Source organism: Homo sapiens, chromosome 2 (assembly GCF_000001405.40).
Source record: "Homo sapiens chromosome 2, GRCh38.p14 Primary Assembly".
In the NCBI taxonomy this organism is placed as follows: Eukaryota; Metazoa; Chordata; class Mammalia; order Primates; family Hominidae; genus Homo; species Homo sapiens.
The window spans coordinates 209678828-209701024 of NC_000002.12; the positions used below are offsets into that span (position 1 = coordinate 209678828).

The 22197-nt window shown below is 36.4% G+C and overlaps 1 protein-coding gene across 90 annotated transcripts in view; it reads left to right on the forward strand.

The window, feature by feature from the left end:
- MAP2 (microtubule associated protein 2) overlaps positions 1-22197 on the forward strand; it is a 310066-nt gene that overhangs the window by 254781 nt on the left and 33088 nt on the right. For 16 of the 90 annotated variants that reach the window (NR_164698.1, NR_164697.1, NR_164695.1 and 13 more), the window contains 2 exons: positions 1923-2000; positions 21450-21511. Coding sequence is in view for 84 of the 90 variants with exons in the window: in NM_001375493.1 (NP_001362422.1) it covers positions 1923-2000; positions 21450-21511 (140 nt within the window). In the remaining 6 variants the exon portion in view is untranslated. Of the gene's footprint in view, positions 1-1922; positions 2001-11775; positions 12022-13797; positions 17524-17714; positions 17922-18089; positions 18225-21449; positions 21512-22197 lie in introns of all 90 variants that reach the window. The other 74 variants (NM_001375504.1, NM_001437616.1, NM_001375505.1 and 71 more) reach the window with 27 other exon arrangements.

The window sequence follows — 22197 nt, forward strand, 5'->3', positions numbered from 1 at the left end:
CTAGGACCTATTTTCATCTTTTTCCACTGGTTTGTTGTAGTGTTTGCATAGTCTTTCGTTAGGGTGGTGAGCTTACAGTTAGACTTTTCCCTAAGTGGCCCTTAATTTTTTCATTTTCCAGACCACTAGAAATAGTTATTATTAAAATAAAGCCAATGCCTTATTTCATGACCTCCACCCATAAGGATAATATACTAAAACTTTCATAAGAGATGATTATTTCCCTTTACAGGTTTTGGTGAATGATTATACTGTAGCCTTGTTTGGGTCTTCCTGAAATGACTACACAAAACCTATAGCCAGAGCTTTGTTATAATCGTGAGTGACTTTGTATCTTATATGAAGTACTGAACTTCACTTGGTTCATCTAAGGGCGCTGAGAGAGTGCTGCTCTCTCCCTTAGTAACAAGACAAATGCCCTCCATGCCAAGCAAGTCATTTAACGCATGCTTGCCAAAGGAAACACTCTCAGCCAAAGCCTTGCTGCCCCTACTCATAGATAGATAGATAGATAGATAGATAGATAGATAGATAGATAGGCAGATAGATAGATAGAGAGATGGATGTATATAGGCAGATAGATAGATAGAGAGATGGATGTATATACACAAAGAGATACAGGAAAGGAGACTCTCTTAAATTCAATATATATATTTATTTCACAGGTATATACACGTGAGTCATAGAAAGGTGTGTTTTTAAAGGCCTAAAAAAGTACATATCCATTTCCCTCTCTTACAGTCTAATATATCCATGATATTTGATTTTTTGATCAGTATTCCTTTAACTGTCTATTAAAAAGTAAGTAATAAAAATAATCTGCCCTCCCAGAATAATAATTTAGAATACACTCAGTATTTTCAGTACTGTGGGTTTTTTTAATTATTAAGGACTATTTTTCTCTTAAAACACATAGAGAATTATCTAATCTAAAACATTAACCTTCAGTTTATTGTTCACTTTTATTCCTTGAAAGAAAAGAAAACTCAATTTTTTAAAACTTGAAATCTTAAAATACGCCATGCAGAAGCCCATAGGGTAAGGAACTAAAAAAGTCACCTGTCATCCCAAATCTGCCTCTAATAACTACTTTATGAAGCTGAAATTCCCCTAATATTTAAAATAGATTTAACCACTGGCCTTAAATGAGAAATATTTCCTTTTGAAATTTCTTACTGTCATATGAGGGGGATCACAAATCATGTAAGTGTCTTGAAAAATAAAACTTAACATTAACTGTAAATGAATTACATCTTTTAGAACCTTTTTCTCTGGTTCCTTTTCATGTGTATTGATTGCTAAGACCAGAAGTTTACTCAGCATATGGTTTTTGTCTGAAAGTTCACTCAGGCTATGAAAGCTTATTTTTCCATTTCTGAGAATACATACAGAAGATGGGTTTTGAAATTAGACTCAGTGAACAAAAGGTTGTTTAAAAAATATATTCCCTAAAATAACTATTAGTGATCAAGATAACACATGTTTCCAGATTGAGCAGTTGAACAATAGAGAGTTCTAATAGTTTTTTCAGTCAGTAGCTGAATCCAGACTAAAAACACCTGCCTGCCTGTGTGTGTTTTCATATGGTAAATTAGGGCCAAAATGAAATATTTTATTAATTGAACAGGTAGACACATTAATGAGATTAATGATGGAATTTTAGCAGGCATCTCTAATCTGTTTTTCTAGAGATGATAAAATCATTTTTTTTTGAAAATATCAAATGCTTGTCTTATTTTTTAGGTTTTCAAAAATGCATGAATCAGGTAATGGGCCTATAAATAAACCAAATGCGGCTTACTATTGAATCTTTTTCTGAATTTTATAGAGAGGTCTTTTTACAAATGGCAGAACTTCCTACACATCTACCAGCCTAAAAGGATTAATTATTGCATCTCATTTTTCTATTGTTTGATCTTTAGCAGCTGAAGAAACAGCTAATCTGCCTCCTTCTCCACCCCCATCACCTGCCTCAGAACAGACTGTCACAGTGGAGGAAGGTAAGGCCTATTGGACTTTTCAGGGTTTGTCTTCTGTTAAAGTGTGAACAATAAACTTCAATCAATAAGCTCTGGACTTTGGTATTGGTTAGTATGTGACCAAGCTTTGGAGCTATCTGTTTCAAATAATGAAGAAGAAACAAAGACTTTAAATAAATAATCACTTATTTTTATAAAAGCAAAAGTAGAGGAATTTGGTAAATAAAAAAGAAATCTGCTTGATTAAGGAAAAGAATTTTGTGTTCAGTTGCTAAAATAACTGTAGAGACCCCATTCACTTTAGAATGCTTTAACAGGGAAGATACAATTCTACCTTGTAAGTGACTGAACAAAAATTAAAATAAATATAAATGTAATCTCCATAATAGTAGGGGTCAGATTTATCAATGAAATCAACACTTCCTTATGAAAGTGTCAGGAATTATCTCTGTTTTGCTCACTGTTATATTGCCAAGACCTTCCCCAGGGCCTGACTCATAGCAAATTTAATAAATATTAATGAATAAATGAAGAAGTTAATGAATGAATCTGATATTGAGAGCATTGAACTGGAAGCTGAGCTCATGACTCTTTCCTGTTGAGACCTGTTATTGTCCATGGATCTTTTTATGAACTTACTCAACATGGAATGTCATGTTAGCTTTTCAATTCTCATTGATACAACAGAAAGATGCCTTTGAAGAATTTTCATTCAGAATCTGAGATGAAAGGCACTACTTAAAAGGAAACCATTACTGGTTCTCCGACTTAGTCCAGTTAACCTTTGTTTATTGTTTGAGAGTCACAGGAAAAGGCAGAGAAGAACTAGGGCTCCATTGTTGTTTCAACATTACTTAGTTTTCATATATTAAAACCAGAATTTTAAAAGTGTTTATTTTATTCATTTATTCATTTATTTTTCCTTTTTACTGTGTTAAAGACTGAAGAACATTTATTTTAAAAGACTTGTCTTTTTATCATTTGTAATTAGGTTCATTTAAAATATTCTTTGATTTCGTAAATACAAAAATTTGAATTAGTGAACCATATATTATCACCTCTAATATAATTTTATTTTGTCACAGATTTATAAACCTAAATTTATTTTAGCAAGGTTTTTCTTTCTTAAATTGAAGCTTTTTTTTTCCAATTTACTGCCTGAAATAATAAACAAACTAAATTTTTCTGAGGAATAAAAGAAACTTTGGGGATAATAATCAGTGCATAGCAGCCACTGATTATTAGTTAATGTGATTTAATCTTTTAATTTATAGGTTTGAAAAGTTCCTTTTGACCTTATGTTTATCCATTCACTGGGCACATATTTATTGAGCCCTACAGTCTTCCAGGTACTCTTCAAATTCTGAGTATATACTAGTGAACAAAACAGACATGATCCCTGCTTTTAAAGAGTACACTATAGCCGGTAATCCCAGCACTTTGGGAGGCCGAGGCGGGCAGATCACTTGAGGTCAGGAGTTCAAGATCAGCCTGGCCAACATGGTGAAAACCCGTCTCTACTAAAAATACAAAAATTAGCCAGGCATGGTGGCGTACGCCTATAATCCCAGCTACTCGGGAGGCTGAGGCAGGAGAATCACTTGAACCCAGAAGGCGGAGGTTGCAGCGAGCCAAGATGGCACCATTACACTGTAGCCTGGTGACATAGCGAGACTCCATCTCAAAATAAATAAATAAATAGTACACTATCTAGTGGAGAACAGAAATCCAATAAATAAGCTTACCAATAATTTCAAATTGGATTAGCATTGAAGAGGAAAAGAATAGGGAGCTTTAAAATATTACAAGAGAAACCTGATTTTATTGGGTGGTGAGGGGATGGCTAAGTAGCTGAGACCAGAAGCATGAGGAGGAAGTGTTGGCCAAATAAAGATAGAAAAAAGCACAAGGGCGCTCAGGTGCCCAAGAAGATGAAGTGACCCAGGAACTGAAGGGGGTCCGTGGCTGATGGGTAGTGAGAAAGGGTAGAGCAGTGGAGTGTGAGAGTAAGCAGTGGTCAGCTGGGGTCAGTGGCCTAGATTTCATTCTGAATGCAGCGGGAAGCCTGACATGACCCTTGTACCTCCTTCAGGCCATGGAAAATGTTTCTAAGCTCCTACTTAAAGCTTTTCAAGCATCAGAGAATCCTCTTAACCCAGAGAGGGATATGATGTTGACAGAGCAGGTTTACTCCAAAAGTCGGCTTGAGGTCAAGTCATTTAATCTTCTTACTCTATATGGGATTTGGAACAGAAAGGGAAGAAGCAGAGTCCTCCCATCCATCTGGGAATTCACCCAGCCTGCTTCCTGTAGGGTAATATGATGGATATAATGAAAACATAAATAAATAAAATGTAGAATCACCTTCACATTTTGGTAACTTAGGTGTCAACTTTCCAGAGTTCCCTAATATTTTGGAATTACTTTCTTCAAGCTGTTTCAAGATATTCAAGGAAAATACCACCTAACCTCTTATTGAAAGTAATTCAAAGTTATTTTCAAGCCAAACTTGTGTTTTTAACTTTTTGAGTATTGAACTATCTGAAGTTCTGATTATTTGATTTTAAAAGTATAACCATTTTTTGAGTTTTAAGAAAAACAGATGTATATATTTTATAAACTCTATCTCTATAAAGACCAGATAATATTCTCACCTTAAATATGTAAAAGATTTGTGGTCTAGACAAACTACTGTTTCTCTTTTATGTTAAGCCACACTTAAGTAATATACAAGTATTTTTTAAGTTTAGTTTTGTCAGAAAATAAATTAGTGACAAGTCACAAGACAGGATTGAACTGTTCAATTTTTCAAACCAAGTAGTTTGTAAATACTCAGCCCAAATTCCATCAATATATTGCTTATAGCAGGTCAGGTGGAAAGGGAGCAGGTGGATTTTTTTGCCTTATCTAGGGGATTATTTACCCTCCTTGATACCCTCAAAGCAACTTTAATCTGAGGGTATAGTGACTGCTGCAGTCTGATCCTTTTATACAAATGGAAGAAAGCTCTTTTGTTAGATTAATTCAGCGATTTTGAGGATACATTTTCTTTTTGTTAATTATCAAACTTTTTAAAGCTGTTCTTTCCCAAAGGGGAAGCATGAAAGCTTCCACTAAAAATTTAAGATGTTAATTACTATAATTTATGAATATTTATTATAATTAATGTAATATTAGTAATTCCCAGGATATGTGCTTATTCTAGAAAACATTTACAAGGGATTTTGATGAAAAAAAAGGAAACAAGCTGCACACTTAGAAAAGGATCTACGGTACAGTAAACCAAACCTGTACTGATTATGATGTTTTCAAATTAACCTCCTTTTTCTTTTTGGCCTAATCATAATAGTTGTCATTTGGACTGAGCTATTAGAATTTGGAAGGCTGTGAAGGAATGGAATAATCTGAACACAGAACCAGGATTCTTTCTGCCCTTTTAGGTTTGCTCCAGAATTCTAGGGTGGTGTTTTCCTGTGTCATGGATGTGGTGACCTAATCATCGCGCATCTGAAAGTAGTTTTCTCTTTATGTCATTCTGGGGCAGCAGTAACAGTCAGCAGACTGAGAAGTCCTCAGTCAAAAGCTGGCAGAATGGAAAGGGCTTGGAAATGGTGGAGAACAATGTAAGTGCGGCCAGCAGCCATCGACCATATGCTGTGATGCCACAACAAGCAAAAAGTACCGAATCACTAACATTCCACAAGATGCAGTCTCCAAAGGAGGCTGGTATACTAAGGCTGGGTTTTACATGGCAAACCTTACATTAGCCCAGTGTAAATTTTCAAATGCTTTATTTAAAAGAAAAAGTTTCAATGAAAGCAAACTAGGGAAACTTTATTCCTCCATTGAAACCAGGTAAGCTTTATTTTTGAAGATTATAATTATGCAGAAAACTATGCAAAAGTCCAAGGTGTATAAGGTTACCCTGTTTTTAGCATAACACGTGATTAAATGAAATAGAATATTCTGTGGCAAAAGCAGAGTCCCCAGAAGCATGCCCACTTCTAGTAAAAGGATGCATGCATTCAATCCTGACCTCAAACAGCAAACTAACTGTTGTGAAATAAATTTAATTTTTAATATATCTCTCAACTCCAACTTTGATGTGCTAAATGAGGGGAAAGAACAGAGGTACCTGACAACTTGTCTGAGTACACTGAAGACACAGATGCTAAGATGTATGGAGTCAGACATTGTGCTTGGCATTTTCACAGATATCTTCTCATTTAATCCTCCCAGCAACCCACAGAGATAGATAATATTCATTTCCACTCCTTTGCCCAAAATGTTATGGTTTATGTCTGGAGAAGTGGCTTATCCAGAATGCAAATCCAAATCTAAATTCTGCAATCACGGTTGCACTACATCCCTAAAGCTGTTTCTTATCAAGGTTCTTACTGTGAGACTATGGAAGTAAATTATCTTCAAATGAGAGTTATTTGTTACAAGCTACTATACTAATTTCCTTTAAGAAAAAAAATCTTACAAATAAATATTCCATTTATTATTTATTTATTTAAAATTATTATGTCTTCCATCTGCATTGGGAGTGATCCAGATGCACCTGCCATACACAACACAATAAGAAATGAGAATCTAATGTCTTCTGTCATTATCATTAAAATCAAGTGCCCTGTTTGGCTTAGCCCTCCCTGGTCCCCATAAAGCATAGCTTCCCTGGCATATCTCTAGAGCTTGTAACGTAGATGGACTTTAGGCTGATAGGTCTTAAACAGAGACTTGGAGTACAGACAGCTTACAGTACCAAGAGAAGATTGGACTTTGCCAGACACTCTTTTTGAAGTTGCCTTGGTCCCAGGCCAGATGAATACTAAAAAGAAGCTACTTTTTCCACTAGATCTTTCAAAATTTGTGTTGTTCTTTTTGTTGTTTCCTGATTAGAGTGAAAGTTTTCAGAATAGAAAATACCATTTACCATTTTTTTAAATGCTATAGATCTGAAGCAAGGCTCTGGACTGTTTTTAAATGTTGGCACTTTCACAAAGAACAATGACAACAAGAAAGAGGTGGCCAGAATCTGCAAAAGGTTAAAACATCCAATGAGTATTGCCTTTACTCTCAGCTTGAAATTCTTTAATTTTATACTATAGTCTGCTGTACCTCCCAGAAAATAAATGTTGAAAAGCAGAGAGGAGCATATCCCATTTTCATTTATTGATCATGAAAGTACCCTACTGAACATATCAGGAATTTTAGAAGTAACTTGCATACATGGGGAATTTACAGCCCCAGAGATCCACTGAGAGAAATATGAATGGCTAGGACATGTGACAAGCCAGGGCTATGATTCAGTCAGTGTTGTAGGCCAGATCTTGGACAATTATCTGCTCAGCTGCGAAATCGTGCCGAGTTGAACTAAGAATATCAAACGTTATTTTAGGCTTCTGCTATCCCATGATATAAAAAGCATTGTGGCTGAGAAAGTTCTGAGCATCCATCCAGAAACATCTTCCATGGAACAATCAGTAAATAATGTGCTTGAAAGATTAAATGTATTCTCTCTACAAAATGTTATTTTAGTATCCTCATGATTTCAGACTTATTTCTAGTTGTCAGCACTTGGTTGCCAAAAATAAGTTACTGTCCTAAAAATACAGTATATTTGCAAATTAATGCTATAATTTTGTCTTCTTAAAATCTGATATAAATAAAAACTGTACAGATAGATACTATAGATTTTGTTCTTATTATTGAGAGTCATGAAATTTTAAATTGATATCTCAATATAAGTAAATAAATAGTGATTAGCAAATTTAGCAACCACCACATAGGCCTGAGATGTAACGTCTGCACCACATCAGAAGCCAAGTGCTCACTGAGTTATACGAGAATCCAAATGCTAAGCAGACTGATCTACAGTTGTATATTTAAGGAGATATGTTTAAATAATGCAAATTTCCTAGGCAAGATACAGGAAAGAACAGAAATGAGAGTAGTTACTTTAGCATTTCAATAAGAAATATGCAATAAGAGGTTTGAAACATGAAAAACAGCCAAGAGCCAGTGGTACAAATGAAACTACATGGAATAAAGTCTTGATGAATCTGCAGCCGACTCTGCAGAAATTTTTAGCTAATTGTATCTCTGCTAAGCTTTCAGAAGGAAAACAAAACATAAGAAAACAAGTTTATAATATTAGAGGCTTTCTTAAAACAGTATACTTTTAGTGTCCTGCAAATCAGAACCTGGTTTAAAATGATGCCTCTAGGTACTACATTAGCCTTAGCATCCAAAGAAAGAGCTATGCTGACTGCGCATTTCTTATTAAGGCAGGAAAGAGGCATAATGCATTGTAGATTTTTCTTAACAGGATTGAAATTAAAAATGACTTTCTGGTTAAAGTTATTAACTAGAATTAAATTAACCAAAACACTACTTGTGCATCCTAGATAATTAAGACTATGTTTTAAACAGGACTGTTTTCTTCATAATCTTACAGGCGTTAAATCCTAATAACTTTCTTCTTTTTAAACTTATAAACATATTGATCTAAGCATGAGTAGAGTTAACCTTCATGAAATAATTTCCTCCAAAGAATGCATTTGTTTTGTAATGCTTTGTTTCTATTCCAACGTTCCTTGGTTATTCTGACTTGTTTGAGAGGAATGTACAGATGATTTTTATTTTGCCGCAGGGCTGTCAATGCTTTTGGTTCACTTAGATCAATGGCAAACTTGCTTAAGGGATAGGTGGAATTCAGCAGTTACTGAGGCATGAAACATTCACTGTCTCCCATCCTCCATCAGCTTGATCTTGCTAATTTCCCTTCATCCTGCTGTGCTGCTTCTGTGGCCCTTCCTGCCCTTGTGTAGGTGTTTGTTTCGTCCGTCTGATCTTGTGTCTGTGTTGTCCAGTTCTCCCTGCAGTTTCTTCCTGTGTGTCTGTTTGTAGATGAAGGGGCTGAGGATCAAGTGGGTCCTCTACACAGGTTCCCCAGCCATGAACCTGCCACCAGCGGGGAGAGGCGTGGACTCCTAGCCCCCTCCATCTCAGTGTCTGTGCCTGATGATGACCCTTACAATTCCGATGAGGAGTACTATGAGCATCCTTTGTTCAGCTCAGAACGGACCACCTCTAGTGTGCTCCCCAGTGTCACAGCGCAGAGTGCAGAGGCCCACTTAGGCCAGGAGAAAGGTGAACCAAGCATGGTCCCCTTTTGCTCCTCCGCCCCGGCCTACAGCTTTGACCACCTACATCATGTTAAGTGTGCCTTAATACAGGGTGGGAGGGGCAGGAGCCTGTTTTCTCTGCATGAAAGTGAAGTTCCTATATAAGTTGAATCTATCCAAATGCCTTAACAATTTATATAAAAGAAGCCTTACTAGAGGCATGTGAGCACTTCCTTTTTCTGTATCATTGCTTCTGAGAAGGAAGAAAAAGAGAGAGAGAAAGAGAGAGAGAAGCAAAAAAATATTCCATTAAAGTATGGCTTCTTTCTGCTCCCTGCCAATAATCAGCTGGGGAAGAACATATTCTTTACCCAAACCAAAGAAGATGACTCTGAATATAATTTTTTTCCTCCTTAGACACATAATATTACTATTAAATAGCATCTTTAAATAGCATCTTTAAATAGCATTAGCTTTCTTTTTAGTGCTATATTAATATGATAGATCTTTAAAAGAGAAAGAATGAAGAATCTGTTTAGAGCAGAATAAATGTTATGGAAACAATTTATTTCCCCATATCATGTAATCATCTACAGAAACTACAGAGGCTTCCCCAGGTGACTAAATCTTGGCTCACATCAGTAGAGCTGGACTAAAATGAAGGAAATGATTCAAAGCCTTTGTCATTCTAGCCTTATAAAGCTGGGAGACTCAAGTGTATAATTGGTTATCGTGAGGATAAAATAAGTAGGTGATGGGCTGCAATGTGTCTCATTCTAACTAGGTAGTTTTGGTAAAGAAAAAAAAGGTACAGCTAAATATATTTTTGCTTAGGCGAAGAGTTTATTTCCAAAAGGGACAATATTTAATATGAAAGCAGATAGTTCTAAAGCAATAAGGAATAAGCTTACAGCTCACCAACTATGGTCATCATAATAAACGTCTTCAAGGACCCTTTTGAAAACAGAACACCAATAGCTCAGGTTCTCTGATAAAGAAATATAACCCCTATTAAGTGAAACTAAGTTCTTCTAAACTAAATTTCTAAAATATGTGAGTTTTTAAATTAGGAACAATTGTAGTGGAAATAAATATGATTTATACTAAATGAGAAAATGAAAAGCTAAAAAGCTACATGGATTTGAAAACATGTAAATTAACTTGATTAGACTTTATCCAAAAAGGTAACATTATAATGCAGTTATATTAAAATTCTTTTAACTGTAATCAAAATCTATGGCATTATAAAAATTTTCTTAAAATAACAAGTTAGAATTTAAATTTTTAAAATGCTACTTAAAATGCCATAATTAAATTACAAAACTAAAAATGAGTGCTAAATGTGAAGAGATTGATAATGTAGATTTTTTTTTCTCTCTCTGTTTCTCTCTGAGGATATTAATATTTCTAAAAAACAAAATAAAAGAAAATTCCTTTTCTTTTTATCTGTAGTCTTTCCCTCAGGGCCGTTTAAACAATGCACAATTATTTCATAAGAATTTTGTAAGAATCTTCCATTTACAAAACTATAAAACAGCTCATATATTTCTCTCTAATTCCTTAAGTGACCAAATGGAATTTACTTATTTTTACTGACATTTCAAGTGTAAATGAGAAACAAATTAGTGCAATAACTCATGAACTTGAAAAGTTTATCTTTACATCTTAAATGTTAACTTTTTTATGTGATATACATGGTTTGGGGGGTGGTTATTTTGGCCGTTTGATTGCCACTCAATTATCTTTCCTTGGTGATTTTGTTTTGAATTACAGAAATAAGACTTTATTACTAATGTGCATATTTTTTCTTTAGTGTCAAAGAGAATTATACATGAACTACATTACTGATATTTCAGGGAGTTTAACAATATGATAATAGTTGTGTCCCAGAGGTAGACTTTTGTAAACAGATTTAAATTTAACCTTGACCTTGTTTTTAACACATTTTATTTTACTTACTTTTTGAAAATGTTCATTTTCTCCAACATCATACAATGCAATGAAGCTAACATAACTTGACTTAGGTAGTCCCTTACCTTGGAAATGCTAAATAAATTATATTTTAAGTAAATTTGGTGGACTTTGTGATAAAGCTGTTAAGGTAGTTGGTTGGATATTCTTTTGAAGCAAGGCTTTTTTTATTCCCAAAGATTTCTTTAGCAAAATTTGCACATTTTAAATAAAGCAGCCGGGAATTCTTATGTAGGGGCTTCCTGCATTGGCGAAAACAGCACATGTCTAACAAATTTAAAGGCTTTTTTTTTTCAGTACATCAGTACATCCATCTTTTCACAACCATCTGTTATCCGGCAGTACCATCTCTTATTTCCAGCAAGCTTTCCACATGCGTGCAACTTACTGCCGTTTCCAATAAGGGTAATCAATCAATACAACCCTTTCAGCTCTCAAACTTTAAAATAAATTGCCTTTTAATGAGACTTTAAAAGTCATCACTATTAGCAGATTATACATCATAGTTTTCCAACCAGTACCTAATGTATGTTGCATTAGAATATTAATTTGTTCATCCCAATGGTAAAATAAAAAAACAGCTGAGGTCTTCATGAGGTCATTCTAATGGAGCTGAAAGTGTTCCTTTAGCAATATTTCTGTCGTTTCATGTATTGTTCTGTGGTCATGATGTCAACATCTTTTTCATCCCTAAGAAGAAGAAACGCTAGAGAGTCGGATGGCTGAGGAAGAGAAACCTGCTGCTCTTCCTGAGAAAGAGTGTGGGGCTGCTAAGTCCTCAGACCAACCCAAGGGCCTCAGTAAGGGCCAAATGGAGTCTAGTGCGGAGGCCCAAATAGTTCCCGAAGAGAGTGCCCCAGCAGGGGCCCCACATGAGAAAAGTGTAAAAGAGGTCAAGGAGGTGTCTCCAGAAGTAAAAACCCCTTCCTCTGCTGGGGAAGGTGTGTCTTTCTCAGGATTTGCATGTGTTTTGTTGCAAATGATCTCTCCAGTGGCTTACCAACCTGATGCCTTTCCAACGCTATTTCGCTATTTCATCGCTGGGTCTTATGATAACAAGTCCACTGTTGTAGGCTTAATGTGCAGAGAGTGTGGCTTGCGCAAGTGCTGTGTGGCAGCTGGTTTTCCAGTGCTGCAGCTGATTCCTGGTTTTCCTTTGCCATGATACAATACGCTTTGCAGCCAGGCTGATGATGCTATGTGAGCTTCTTTTTTTATTTTATTTTTTTACCCGCCCCCCCTCATCTCAAATGTTTGCCAGTCACATTGCTAATACATGTATATTTTTGTTTTTATTTTGGGGACAGCAATTCATATGCTTTTATTTCAAATCGTACAGTTGGATTTTGGCACATAGAGGCTTAAATGGTGGAATCGTTTTTGTTTGCAACCGAAATGTGCTATATTTTTTATGCTTCAATGAATACTGGTTTGATTTTCTTGACCTCCTGCTGATGCTTCTCATATCATTTTCTCCCCATGGCAGCCAGCCCTTCTGATCATCCCCATATCTCTTGAGTTTTCATTCATCTAACCTTTATTAGAAGTTCATCAAGTATTTTTTTTTCTATTGTTACAACAGGACACATAAGTATATAAGGTAATGATGATCCATACACTTGCTCTTTTAGAGATGATTGAATTTTATTATTTTTCCCCAAATCTTTTCCAGATAACTACATTTAGCTCTAATGACCACAGTGAACTACTTTGACCTTAAAACACAAGTGGGACAATAAAGCCTTTTGGATTGTTGAATAAATAAAAGTAAAAATGTGTTATCTAATTTCTGTGAAGCACCTCTAAAGCCAATACTGGCCAATGCTTCACCAGTTAGTCATGCTCCAAGGATTGAGGTCATGACCATGGGAATAAAGTTATTTCAATAGTTGACTCTTTTGAAAAGTTTGTTACTCACATGACTTCCCAGTATCAACAGTGTAATTCAGATTTTCTTATATCTACCGTACAGACTAAGTAATGATTAGGAATTTAAATTTTTAAATATGTAATAGAAACTGGCTTGTAAATTCTTAAGTCATATCATATAAAATTGATAGCAAATATTTACTTATATTTCTGAAATTTATCCTCAGATGAATTCTAAAAATTTATGCCAGTAACCTGTGGATGCCTAAAGAATTGGCCCTGACATTTGTTAATCAAGTTAACTGCAACTATTAACATTATATCATTGTGCATTACTTGGCCCTCTGCCCATAGCCTACCAATTCATTTTTAAATGATAAAACCAATGAAAATGTTCAGTATAAATCAATTCTTTATCTATATTTAGTCCTTACTATATATTCTTTTGTACCCTAACATTAGCTGCTTACTCAATATTCATTAGCTTATAACTTTTATGTATAGAAGGCACATGAATTTGTTTCTTCTGTAATACACATCACATAATGTTTAGGAGAGACCAAAAAAAAAAAAAACAAAGAAAAAAAGAGAAAAGAATATCCAGAAATATACTGTTCTTACAATTCCTTTGCACATTAATTTACAACCAGAGTTCATTTTAGTAATAGTACACATATATCTCAGTCCTGACCTTTTCATATTGACTTTTACATGGGTAGCATGCTTGCATGTTCCATAATTTTTGTTTTTATTCTACCATTCATTTATCACTTCAAAATATAATTTTAAGCTTATTTCCTGAACGCACTTGCCTATTATTTGTTTAAAAATCAACCCGATTACTTCAGATTTACTTACAGCCTCGAAGATGGAGTTCCACGATCAACAGGAATTGACTCCCTCTACAGCTGAGCCTTCAGACCAGAAGGAAAAGGAGTCAGAGAAGCAAAGTAAGCCTGGTGAAGACCTTAAACATGCTGCCTTAGTTTCTCAGCCAGAGACAACTAAAACTTACCCTGATAAAAAGGACATGCAAGGCACGGAAGAAGAAAAAGCACCCCTAGCTTTGTTTGGGCACACTCTTGTTGCCAGCCTGGAAGACATGAAACAGAAGACAGAACCAAGCCTTGTAGTACCTGGCATTGACCTCCCTAAAGAGCCTCCAACTCCAAAAGAACAAAAGGACTGGTTCATCGAAATGCCAACGGAAGCAAAAAAGGATGAGTGGGGTTTAGTTGCCCCCATATCTCCTGGCCCTCTGACTCCCATGAGGGAAAAAGATGTATTTGATGATATCCCAAAATGGGAAGGGAAACAGTTTGATTCTCCCATGCCAAGTCCCTTTCAAGGGGGAAGCTTCACTCTTCCTTTAGATGTCATGAAGAATGAAATAGTTACAGAAACATCGCCCTTTGCCCCTGCCTTTTTACAGCCAGATGACAAAAAATCTCTGCAACAAACCAGTGGCCCAGCTACTGCCAAAGATAGTTTTAAAATTGAAGAGCCCCATGAGGCTAAACCTGACAAAATGGCAGAAGCACCACCCTCAGAGGCAATGACCTTACCCAAAGATGCTCACATTCCAGTTGTAGAAGAACATGTTATGGGGAAAGTTTTAGAGGAAGAAAAGGAGGCCATAAATCAAGAGACTGTGCAGCAAAGGGATACTTTCACCCCCAGTGGACAGGAACCTATACTTACTGAAAAGGAAACTGAGCTGAAGCTTGAAGAAAAAACCACCATTTCTGACAAAGAAGCTGTGCCAAAAGAGAGTAAACCCCCAAAACCTGCAGATGAAGAAATAGGCATAATTCAGACCTCCACAGAGCACACTTTCTCAGAACAGAAAGACCAAGAGCCTACCACAGATATGTTGAAACAGGACTCGTTCCCTGTAAGTTTGGAGCAAGCAGTTACAGATTCAGCCATGACCTCTAAAACACTGGAGAAAGCCATGACCGAACCATCTGCATTAATTGAAAAGAGCTCAATTCAGGAACTTTTTGAAATGAGAGTTGATGACAAAGATAAGATTGAAGGAGTTGGAGCTGCAACATCAGCTGAGCTTGATATGCCATTTTATGAAGATAAATCAGGAATGTCCAAGTACTTTGAAACATCTGCCTTGAAAGAAGAAGCAACAAAAAGCATTGAGCCAGGCAGTGATTACTATGAACTGAGTGACACTAGAGAAAGTGTCCATGAGTCTATTGATACCATGTCTCCCATGCATAAAAATGGTGACAAGGAGTTTCAAACAGGAAAAGAATCCCAGCCCAGTCCTCCAGCACAAGAAGCAGGGTACAGCACTCTCGCACAGAGTTATCCATCAGATTTACCTGAAGAACCCAGTTCTCCTCAAGAAAGAATGTTCACTATTGATCCAAAAGTGTATGGAGAGAAAAGGGACCTCCACAGTAAGAATAAGGATGATTTGACCCTTAGCAGGAGTTTAGGACTTGGTGGTAGGTCTGCAATAGAACAAAGAAGCATGTCAATCAATTTGCCGATGTCTTGCCTAGATTCCATAGCCCTTGGATTTAACTTTGGTCGGGGACATGATCTTTCTCCTCTGGCTTCCGATATTCTAACCAACACTAGTGGAAGTATGGATGAAGGGGATGATTACCTTCCAGCCACCACACCTGCACTGGAGAAAGCCCCTTGCTTCCCTGTAGAAAGCAAAGAGGAAGAACAGATAGAGAAAGTAAAAGCTACTGGAGAAGAAAGTACTCAAGCGGAGATATCATGTGAGTCTCCTTTCCTAGCCAAAGATTTTTACAAAAATGGTACTGTCATGGCACCTGACCTTCCTGAAATGCTAGATCTGGCAGGCACAAGGTCAAGATTGGCTTCTGTGAGTGCAGATGCTGAGGTTGCCAGGAGGAAATCAGTCCCATCAGAGACTGTGGTTGAGGATAGTCGTACTGGCTTGCCCCCGGTAACTGATGAAAACCATGTCATTGTAAAAACGGACAGTCAGCTCGAAGACCTGGGCTACTGTGTGTTCAATAAGTACACAGTCCCATTGCCATCACCTGTTCAAGACAGTGAGAATTTATCAGGGGAGAGTGGTACCTTTTACGAAGGCACTGATGATAAAGTTCGAAGAGATTTGGCCACAGACCTTTCACTGATTGAAGTGAAACTGGCAGCAGCCGGAAGAGTCAAAGATGAGTTCAGTGTTGACAAAGAAGCATCCGCGCATATCTCTGGTGACAAATCAGGACTGAGTAAGGAGTTTGACCAAGAGAAGAAAGCTAATGATAGGTTGGATACTGTACTAGAAAAGAGTGAAGAACATGCTGATTCAAAAGAACATGCCAAGAAAACTGAAGAGGCTGGTGATGAAATAGAAACATTCGGATTAGGAGTAACCTATGAGCAAGCTTTGGCCAAAGATTTGTCAATACCAACAGATGCATCCTCTGAGAAAGCAGAGAAGGGTCTTAGTTCAGTGCCAGAGATAGCTGAGGTAGAACCATCCAAAAAGGTGGAACAAGGTCTGGATTTTGCTGTCCAGGGTCAACTAGATGTTAAAATTAGTGACTTTGGACAGATGGCTTCAGGGCTAAACATAGATGATAGAAGGGCAACAGAGCTAAAACTTGAGGCTACACAGGACATGACCCCCTCATCCAAAGCACCGCAGGAGGCAGATGCATTTATGGGTGTTGAGTCTGGCCACATGAAAGAAGGCACTAAAGTTAGTGAGACAGAAGTCAAAGAGAAGGTGGCCAAGCCTGACTTGGTGCACCAGGAGGCTGTAGACAAGGAGGAGTCCTATGAATCTAGTGGTGAGCATGAAAGTCTCACCATGGAGTCCTTGAAAGCTGATGAGGGCAAGAAGGAAACATCTCCAGAATCATCTCTAATTCAAGATGAGATTGCCGTCAAATTGTCAGTGGAAATACCTTGCCCACCTGCTGTTTCAGAGGCTGATTTAGCCACAGATGAGAGAGCTGATGTCCAGATGGAATTTATTCAGGGGCCAAAAGAAGAAAGCAAAGAGACCCCAGATATATCCATCACGCCTTCTGATGTTGCAGAGCCATTGCATGAAACGATCGTATCTGAACCAGCAGAGATTCAGAGTGAGGAAGAAGAGATAGAAGCCCAGGGAGAATATGATAAACTGCTCTTCCGCTCAGACACCCTTCAGATAACTGACCTGGGTGTCTCAGGTGCCAGGGAGGAATTTGTGGAGACCTGCCCAAGTGAACACAAAGGAGTGATTGAGTCTGTTGTGACCATCGAGGATGATTTCATCACTGTAGTGCAAACCACAACTGATGAAGGGGAGTCAGGGTCCCACAGCGTGCGTTTTGCAGCCCTAGAGCAGCCTGAGGTGGAAAGGAGACCATCTCCTCATGATGAAGAAGAGTTTGAAGTAGAAGAGGCAGCTGAAGCCCAGGCAGAACCCAAAGATGGTTCCCCAGAGGCTCCAGCTTCCCCTGAGAGAGAAGAGGTTGCACTTTCTGAATATAAGACAGAAACCTATGACGATTACAAAGATGAGACCACCATTGACGACTCCATCATGGACGCTGACAGCCTCTGGGTGGACACTCAAGGTGTGCATTATTATTATTATTATTTTAACTCAAACACAATAACCTTATGGGAATTTTTTTTCACTTAAACATTTTAAAATACCTCTTTATCTCTTTATTTTGTATTTTGTTAAATATACAAAGGATTTTGTACACTTGTTACTAATGTTTTCACTGTTGTTGTTGTTGTCATGATTTGCTTTGATCCACAGATGATGATAGGAGCATCATGACAGAACAGTTAGAAACTATTCCTAAAGAGGAGAAAGCTGAAAAGGAAGCTCGGAGATCATCTCTTGAGAAACATAGAAAAGAAAAGCCTTTTAAAACCGGGAGAGGCAGAATTTCCACTCCTGAAAGAAAAGTAGCTAAAAAGGAACCTAGCACAGTCTCCAGAGATGAAGTGAGAAGGAAAAAAGGTTCATTTAACAATCACTTCTTTAAAAATGTTTTTGAAGTAATTCATTATTACTTTTTTGCAGAACTGCCTAACAGTGGTAACTAATTATTTATAAAATTTCGTTCGGTTTTGCTCCACGTGTTTATTTTTTCCTGATGGTATGCTTTTTGTGTTTTCTTATTCATAGCAGTTTATAAGAAGGCTGAACTTGCTAAAAAAACAGAAGTTCAGGCCCACTCTCCCTCCAGGAAATTCATTTTAAAACCTGCTATCAAATATACTAGACCAACTCATCTCTCCTGTGTTAAGCGGAAAACCACAGGTGACTGTTCAATTCTGCAATGTGACTGGCAAACATAGACATGTATTTTTTTTTTAAATCTCATTACTGTAGCAGCTTCTTCATTTTGTTTTTCTTCCAAGAATCTCAGCAGTCATGAACAATTTTGCTATTAAGTGTCTTGTATCATTATTCTTTTTTCCCCCCTCCTTACAGAAAAGGTCATGACCATCTGTTTCTTTGTCATGCTCAGACATAACAGTGCGTGATTGTATCTTGGCATTGTGCTCTAGTGTCACGTTCTGGGGATTCCTATTTTCATTCTGTGTGTTTGGTTAGACGATGGCGATGAATTTAACTGTGGTATGCATTCTCATTATTTTGCTTATTTATCTCTCTCATGCTTAAACCCATAAATATTTGTCCTATTTTCTACATTGTTACTGCCAAATCTGTTACTGATGTTGATGAATTTATTGAAAACCACCAAGAATGTGTAGTGATTTAGATACTGAAAATGAAAAGCAAGCCAGGAAGTGAAATTGTGGTTTGCAAAATTACTATTACTTTGCTTTTGCTGAAAAAAAGAAGATAGAAAACAAAATTTTCTGGTAATTATATCAGATTTTATTCCTCATATCCAAAATTAACAAGATTTTCACTCTACTGAACTACATCTCTTAGCTGACATTTTGTCATGGAGATTTCTTAAATATGTTGGATCCAAACTGCTCGACTTTTCTATATAATTTAGTTTCACAAATTTGAAGCTAAAACTCTTCCTTTTAGGAGGAACTTCAGTTAGAAATAAACTTCGGTTTATTTTTACTTTGCTGTCTACTTTTTTTTTGTTTCCCAAGACGGAATCTCGCTCTGTCGCCCAGGCTGGAGTGCAGTGGCACGACCTCGGCTCACTGAAACCTCCACCTCCTGGGTTCAAGCAGTTCTTCTGCCTCAGCCTCCGGAGTAGCTGGGATTACAGGCGTGCACCCAGCTAATTTTTTTTTTTTTTGTATTTTTAGTAGAGACGGGGTTTCACCATCTTGGCCAGGCTGGTTTTGAACTCCTGACCTCGTGATCCACCTGCCTCAGCCTCCCAAAGTGCTGGGATTACAGGCATGAGCCACTGCACCCGGCCTGCTATCTACTTATTACTCTTCTTCAAATACATATTTTTTCCTAAGTTTATAAAACTGGTAAAACAAAGGAATGAAACTTGTTGGAAACCATCATAAAAACCCCTACAAATATCTGTAATGCCAACTTTTTTCTAAATTTCAGGGCAAAGTATTTATTTTATATGTTTAATTATACTAGGATAATCTTACCTTACACTATATTTTATTTTAGCATTTATTAAGTGGCATGCTTGTAGTCTACAAAATGACAGATTGCTAAATCAGAAAAGAATGTTTTTCTTTCCATTGTACATCATCAATGCCTCTATATAAATCTTCGGATGGTTTTAAAGGTTAAGAGGAACATTAGCCTTTGTGAGAAAGAGAAAATCAAGGTAACTGATGGTTTTATTTTAGCCATTGAAAATTCCAAGTATTTTGTATTTGTGTTCTTCATCTAGAAATCATATCATGTGCTTTCCTTCAAAAACAAGAATCTAAGGCAGGATTTGAAAATAGAAGGCTTGTATATACGCACACCTTGATAAAGCTTCAGGATGAAGAATATATCTGAAGCTAGGAGTTAGGAATTAACGTGACATACCTCAATTCATTTTCTCAGGTTTTTAGCTTCATTAAACTTAGAACTTCATTAAACTTAATAGCAAATTAATAGCTTCATTAAACTTAGTAGCAAAATTGCTTGGGCAAGCAGAATCTCTTGATTTAGCATAAAAACTCTATAACCTACCTAAAAGGATGAAAGATGTCATCAGGATTGTGGAATTTTAGAGAAAACGTAAAATGGTTTAGTAAAGTGTTTACATGTCATTGGTATTCAATTTGCCACATTTAAAGTAAATTGTGTTTTTATTCATTCTTTGAAAGAAATTTAAAATCTTTGAACTAATGAAGATTTTCCTTTATTCTGGTCTAATGTTAAGATACTTTAGGAGAAAGCATGTATCAGATGTAGGTGTCATTGGTTTGAAGCAAGCTATACATGTCACAAGAATTTGAGTTATATTACAGAGATAGTAGTAAGGCATCGTTTTCACTGCTTCCTTAAAAACAATGAGTCCTAGAATCTGAAAAATCTCACTAGCTAGTCCTACATGGCATAAAGCATATTGTAGACAGTTATTATGTTTGTGTCAGAACTGTACCTGTCATAAAAATACCTTTTTAGAACTTATTCAGAGGGCTTATAAGGATACATTTTTTTTCTGAGGGTTTCTATTTTATGAATGAAAATTAAGGAGGAATAAACACACAAGCTTGATTATTTTATCTTCTAAGCCCAATTTTCAAACATAGATGGTTTTCCAAACCACAAGGGATTGTTTTAAATCATGAGAGCTAAGCTACCTCAGGTAAGTCATCAACCAAAATGTGCTAGAGATAATGGAGTTTAAAATTGAATCCAGAAGCATAAAACAGCAGCAAGAGAAACAACAGTAACAGATGTGGTAATAATTTCATACAGGAAGTGCATGTGTAGAACATGTTCTGTATTTACTGAACTTAAATTTTCTCTCGTGTTTTCTGTTCTTGACAAGCTATTTTTCTTCCCTTCTCATGTGGCATTTTCACATCAAACAAGTATGTCATTCATATTGTGAAATGAAGGGATACAAAGGGAAAGGGGTTAGCTGATCATGACAGTTTGAAATGTAAAATACCGAAATATCTATGGTTATGCCAGTGGCTTCCAGAACAAGAAGAGGGTTTGGAAATCTCTATGAACCCTCTTCTATATATCATGTGAACCCCAGAAACCAATCAGTGTTCTTTTTCTTAAATTTTGCAACATTCACATTGCTATTCTGTAACTTCTGTTCTAAAGGATCTCCTTACGTACTAGTGATTCAAAGATACATTGGTAATCAATAGAAAAATTACGTGGTGTGCTTACCTGCACTTTGGTAGACAATGGGTTATATTAATTAGCACACACTATTTGTTGGAGCCACATGCTATGTTATTGTTATTCATGTTACTTGAGTTATTGAATTTGAGTCTCATAATAAGCAAACTTTTGCTTTGCATTAGTCTGTTGACACAACAGAATATCCTACAGGTATTTAAAACTGCATTTATGACTTTTTAGCAACTAAGTTTGGGGTTGTTTGTCTTTTATTTTCAACAGCAGCAGGTGGGGAATCAGCTCTGGCTCCCAGTGTATTTAAACAGGCAAAGGACAAAGTCTCTGTGAGTAAAATAAGTTTTTCCTTGTTCTTCATTTGAAGTTCCTTTGGTATTAGCTGTAACATCAGAATAACTTTTGATATTGTTTAGATATTTACTCTTAAAAGTCACTTTAAATAGTTCGCTCACCCAGAAGATTCTCCGTGGCATCCAGGCATGGAAGGATGAACGTCTTCTGGGATGGCGTATGATGGTAATTGGTGAGGGCACAGCTGGACTGCTTCCTTACTAGTAAGACAAAAACATAGAAAGCAGCACAATGATATGGCAAAAGTAAGGAAGTCCAGTTTAGTTACTTTTCATAGAATCAAATTAAACCATATAATCAACAGTAACTGTATTTTATAATACACTTTCATTGTTTTTGTTACAAAATAGAAATATGACCAAATGAAGCACTGCACACAAGCAGAAAGAAGTAGAAATCAATTATAATCCTCTTATCATAAAGATAAACACAGCTATCATTTTGATGTAAAATCCTAATTTTTTTCTATACATTTATAGGCTTAACAACAAAAATGAGAACACTGTGTATCACTTTTTAAATTCAACAGTAAATGTACTTCCATGTCGTTGAACATTTTGTAAGTTTTAATGACTACGTAATACTGCATTTTATTTCTTTGCAATGATATACTTAATCAATTTCCTATTATTTGACTTTTAGAATTTTTTGTTGGTATTTT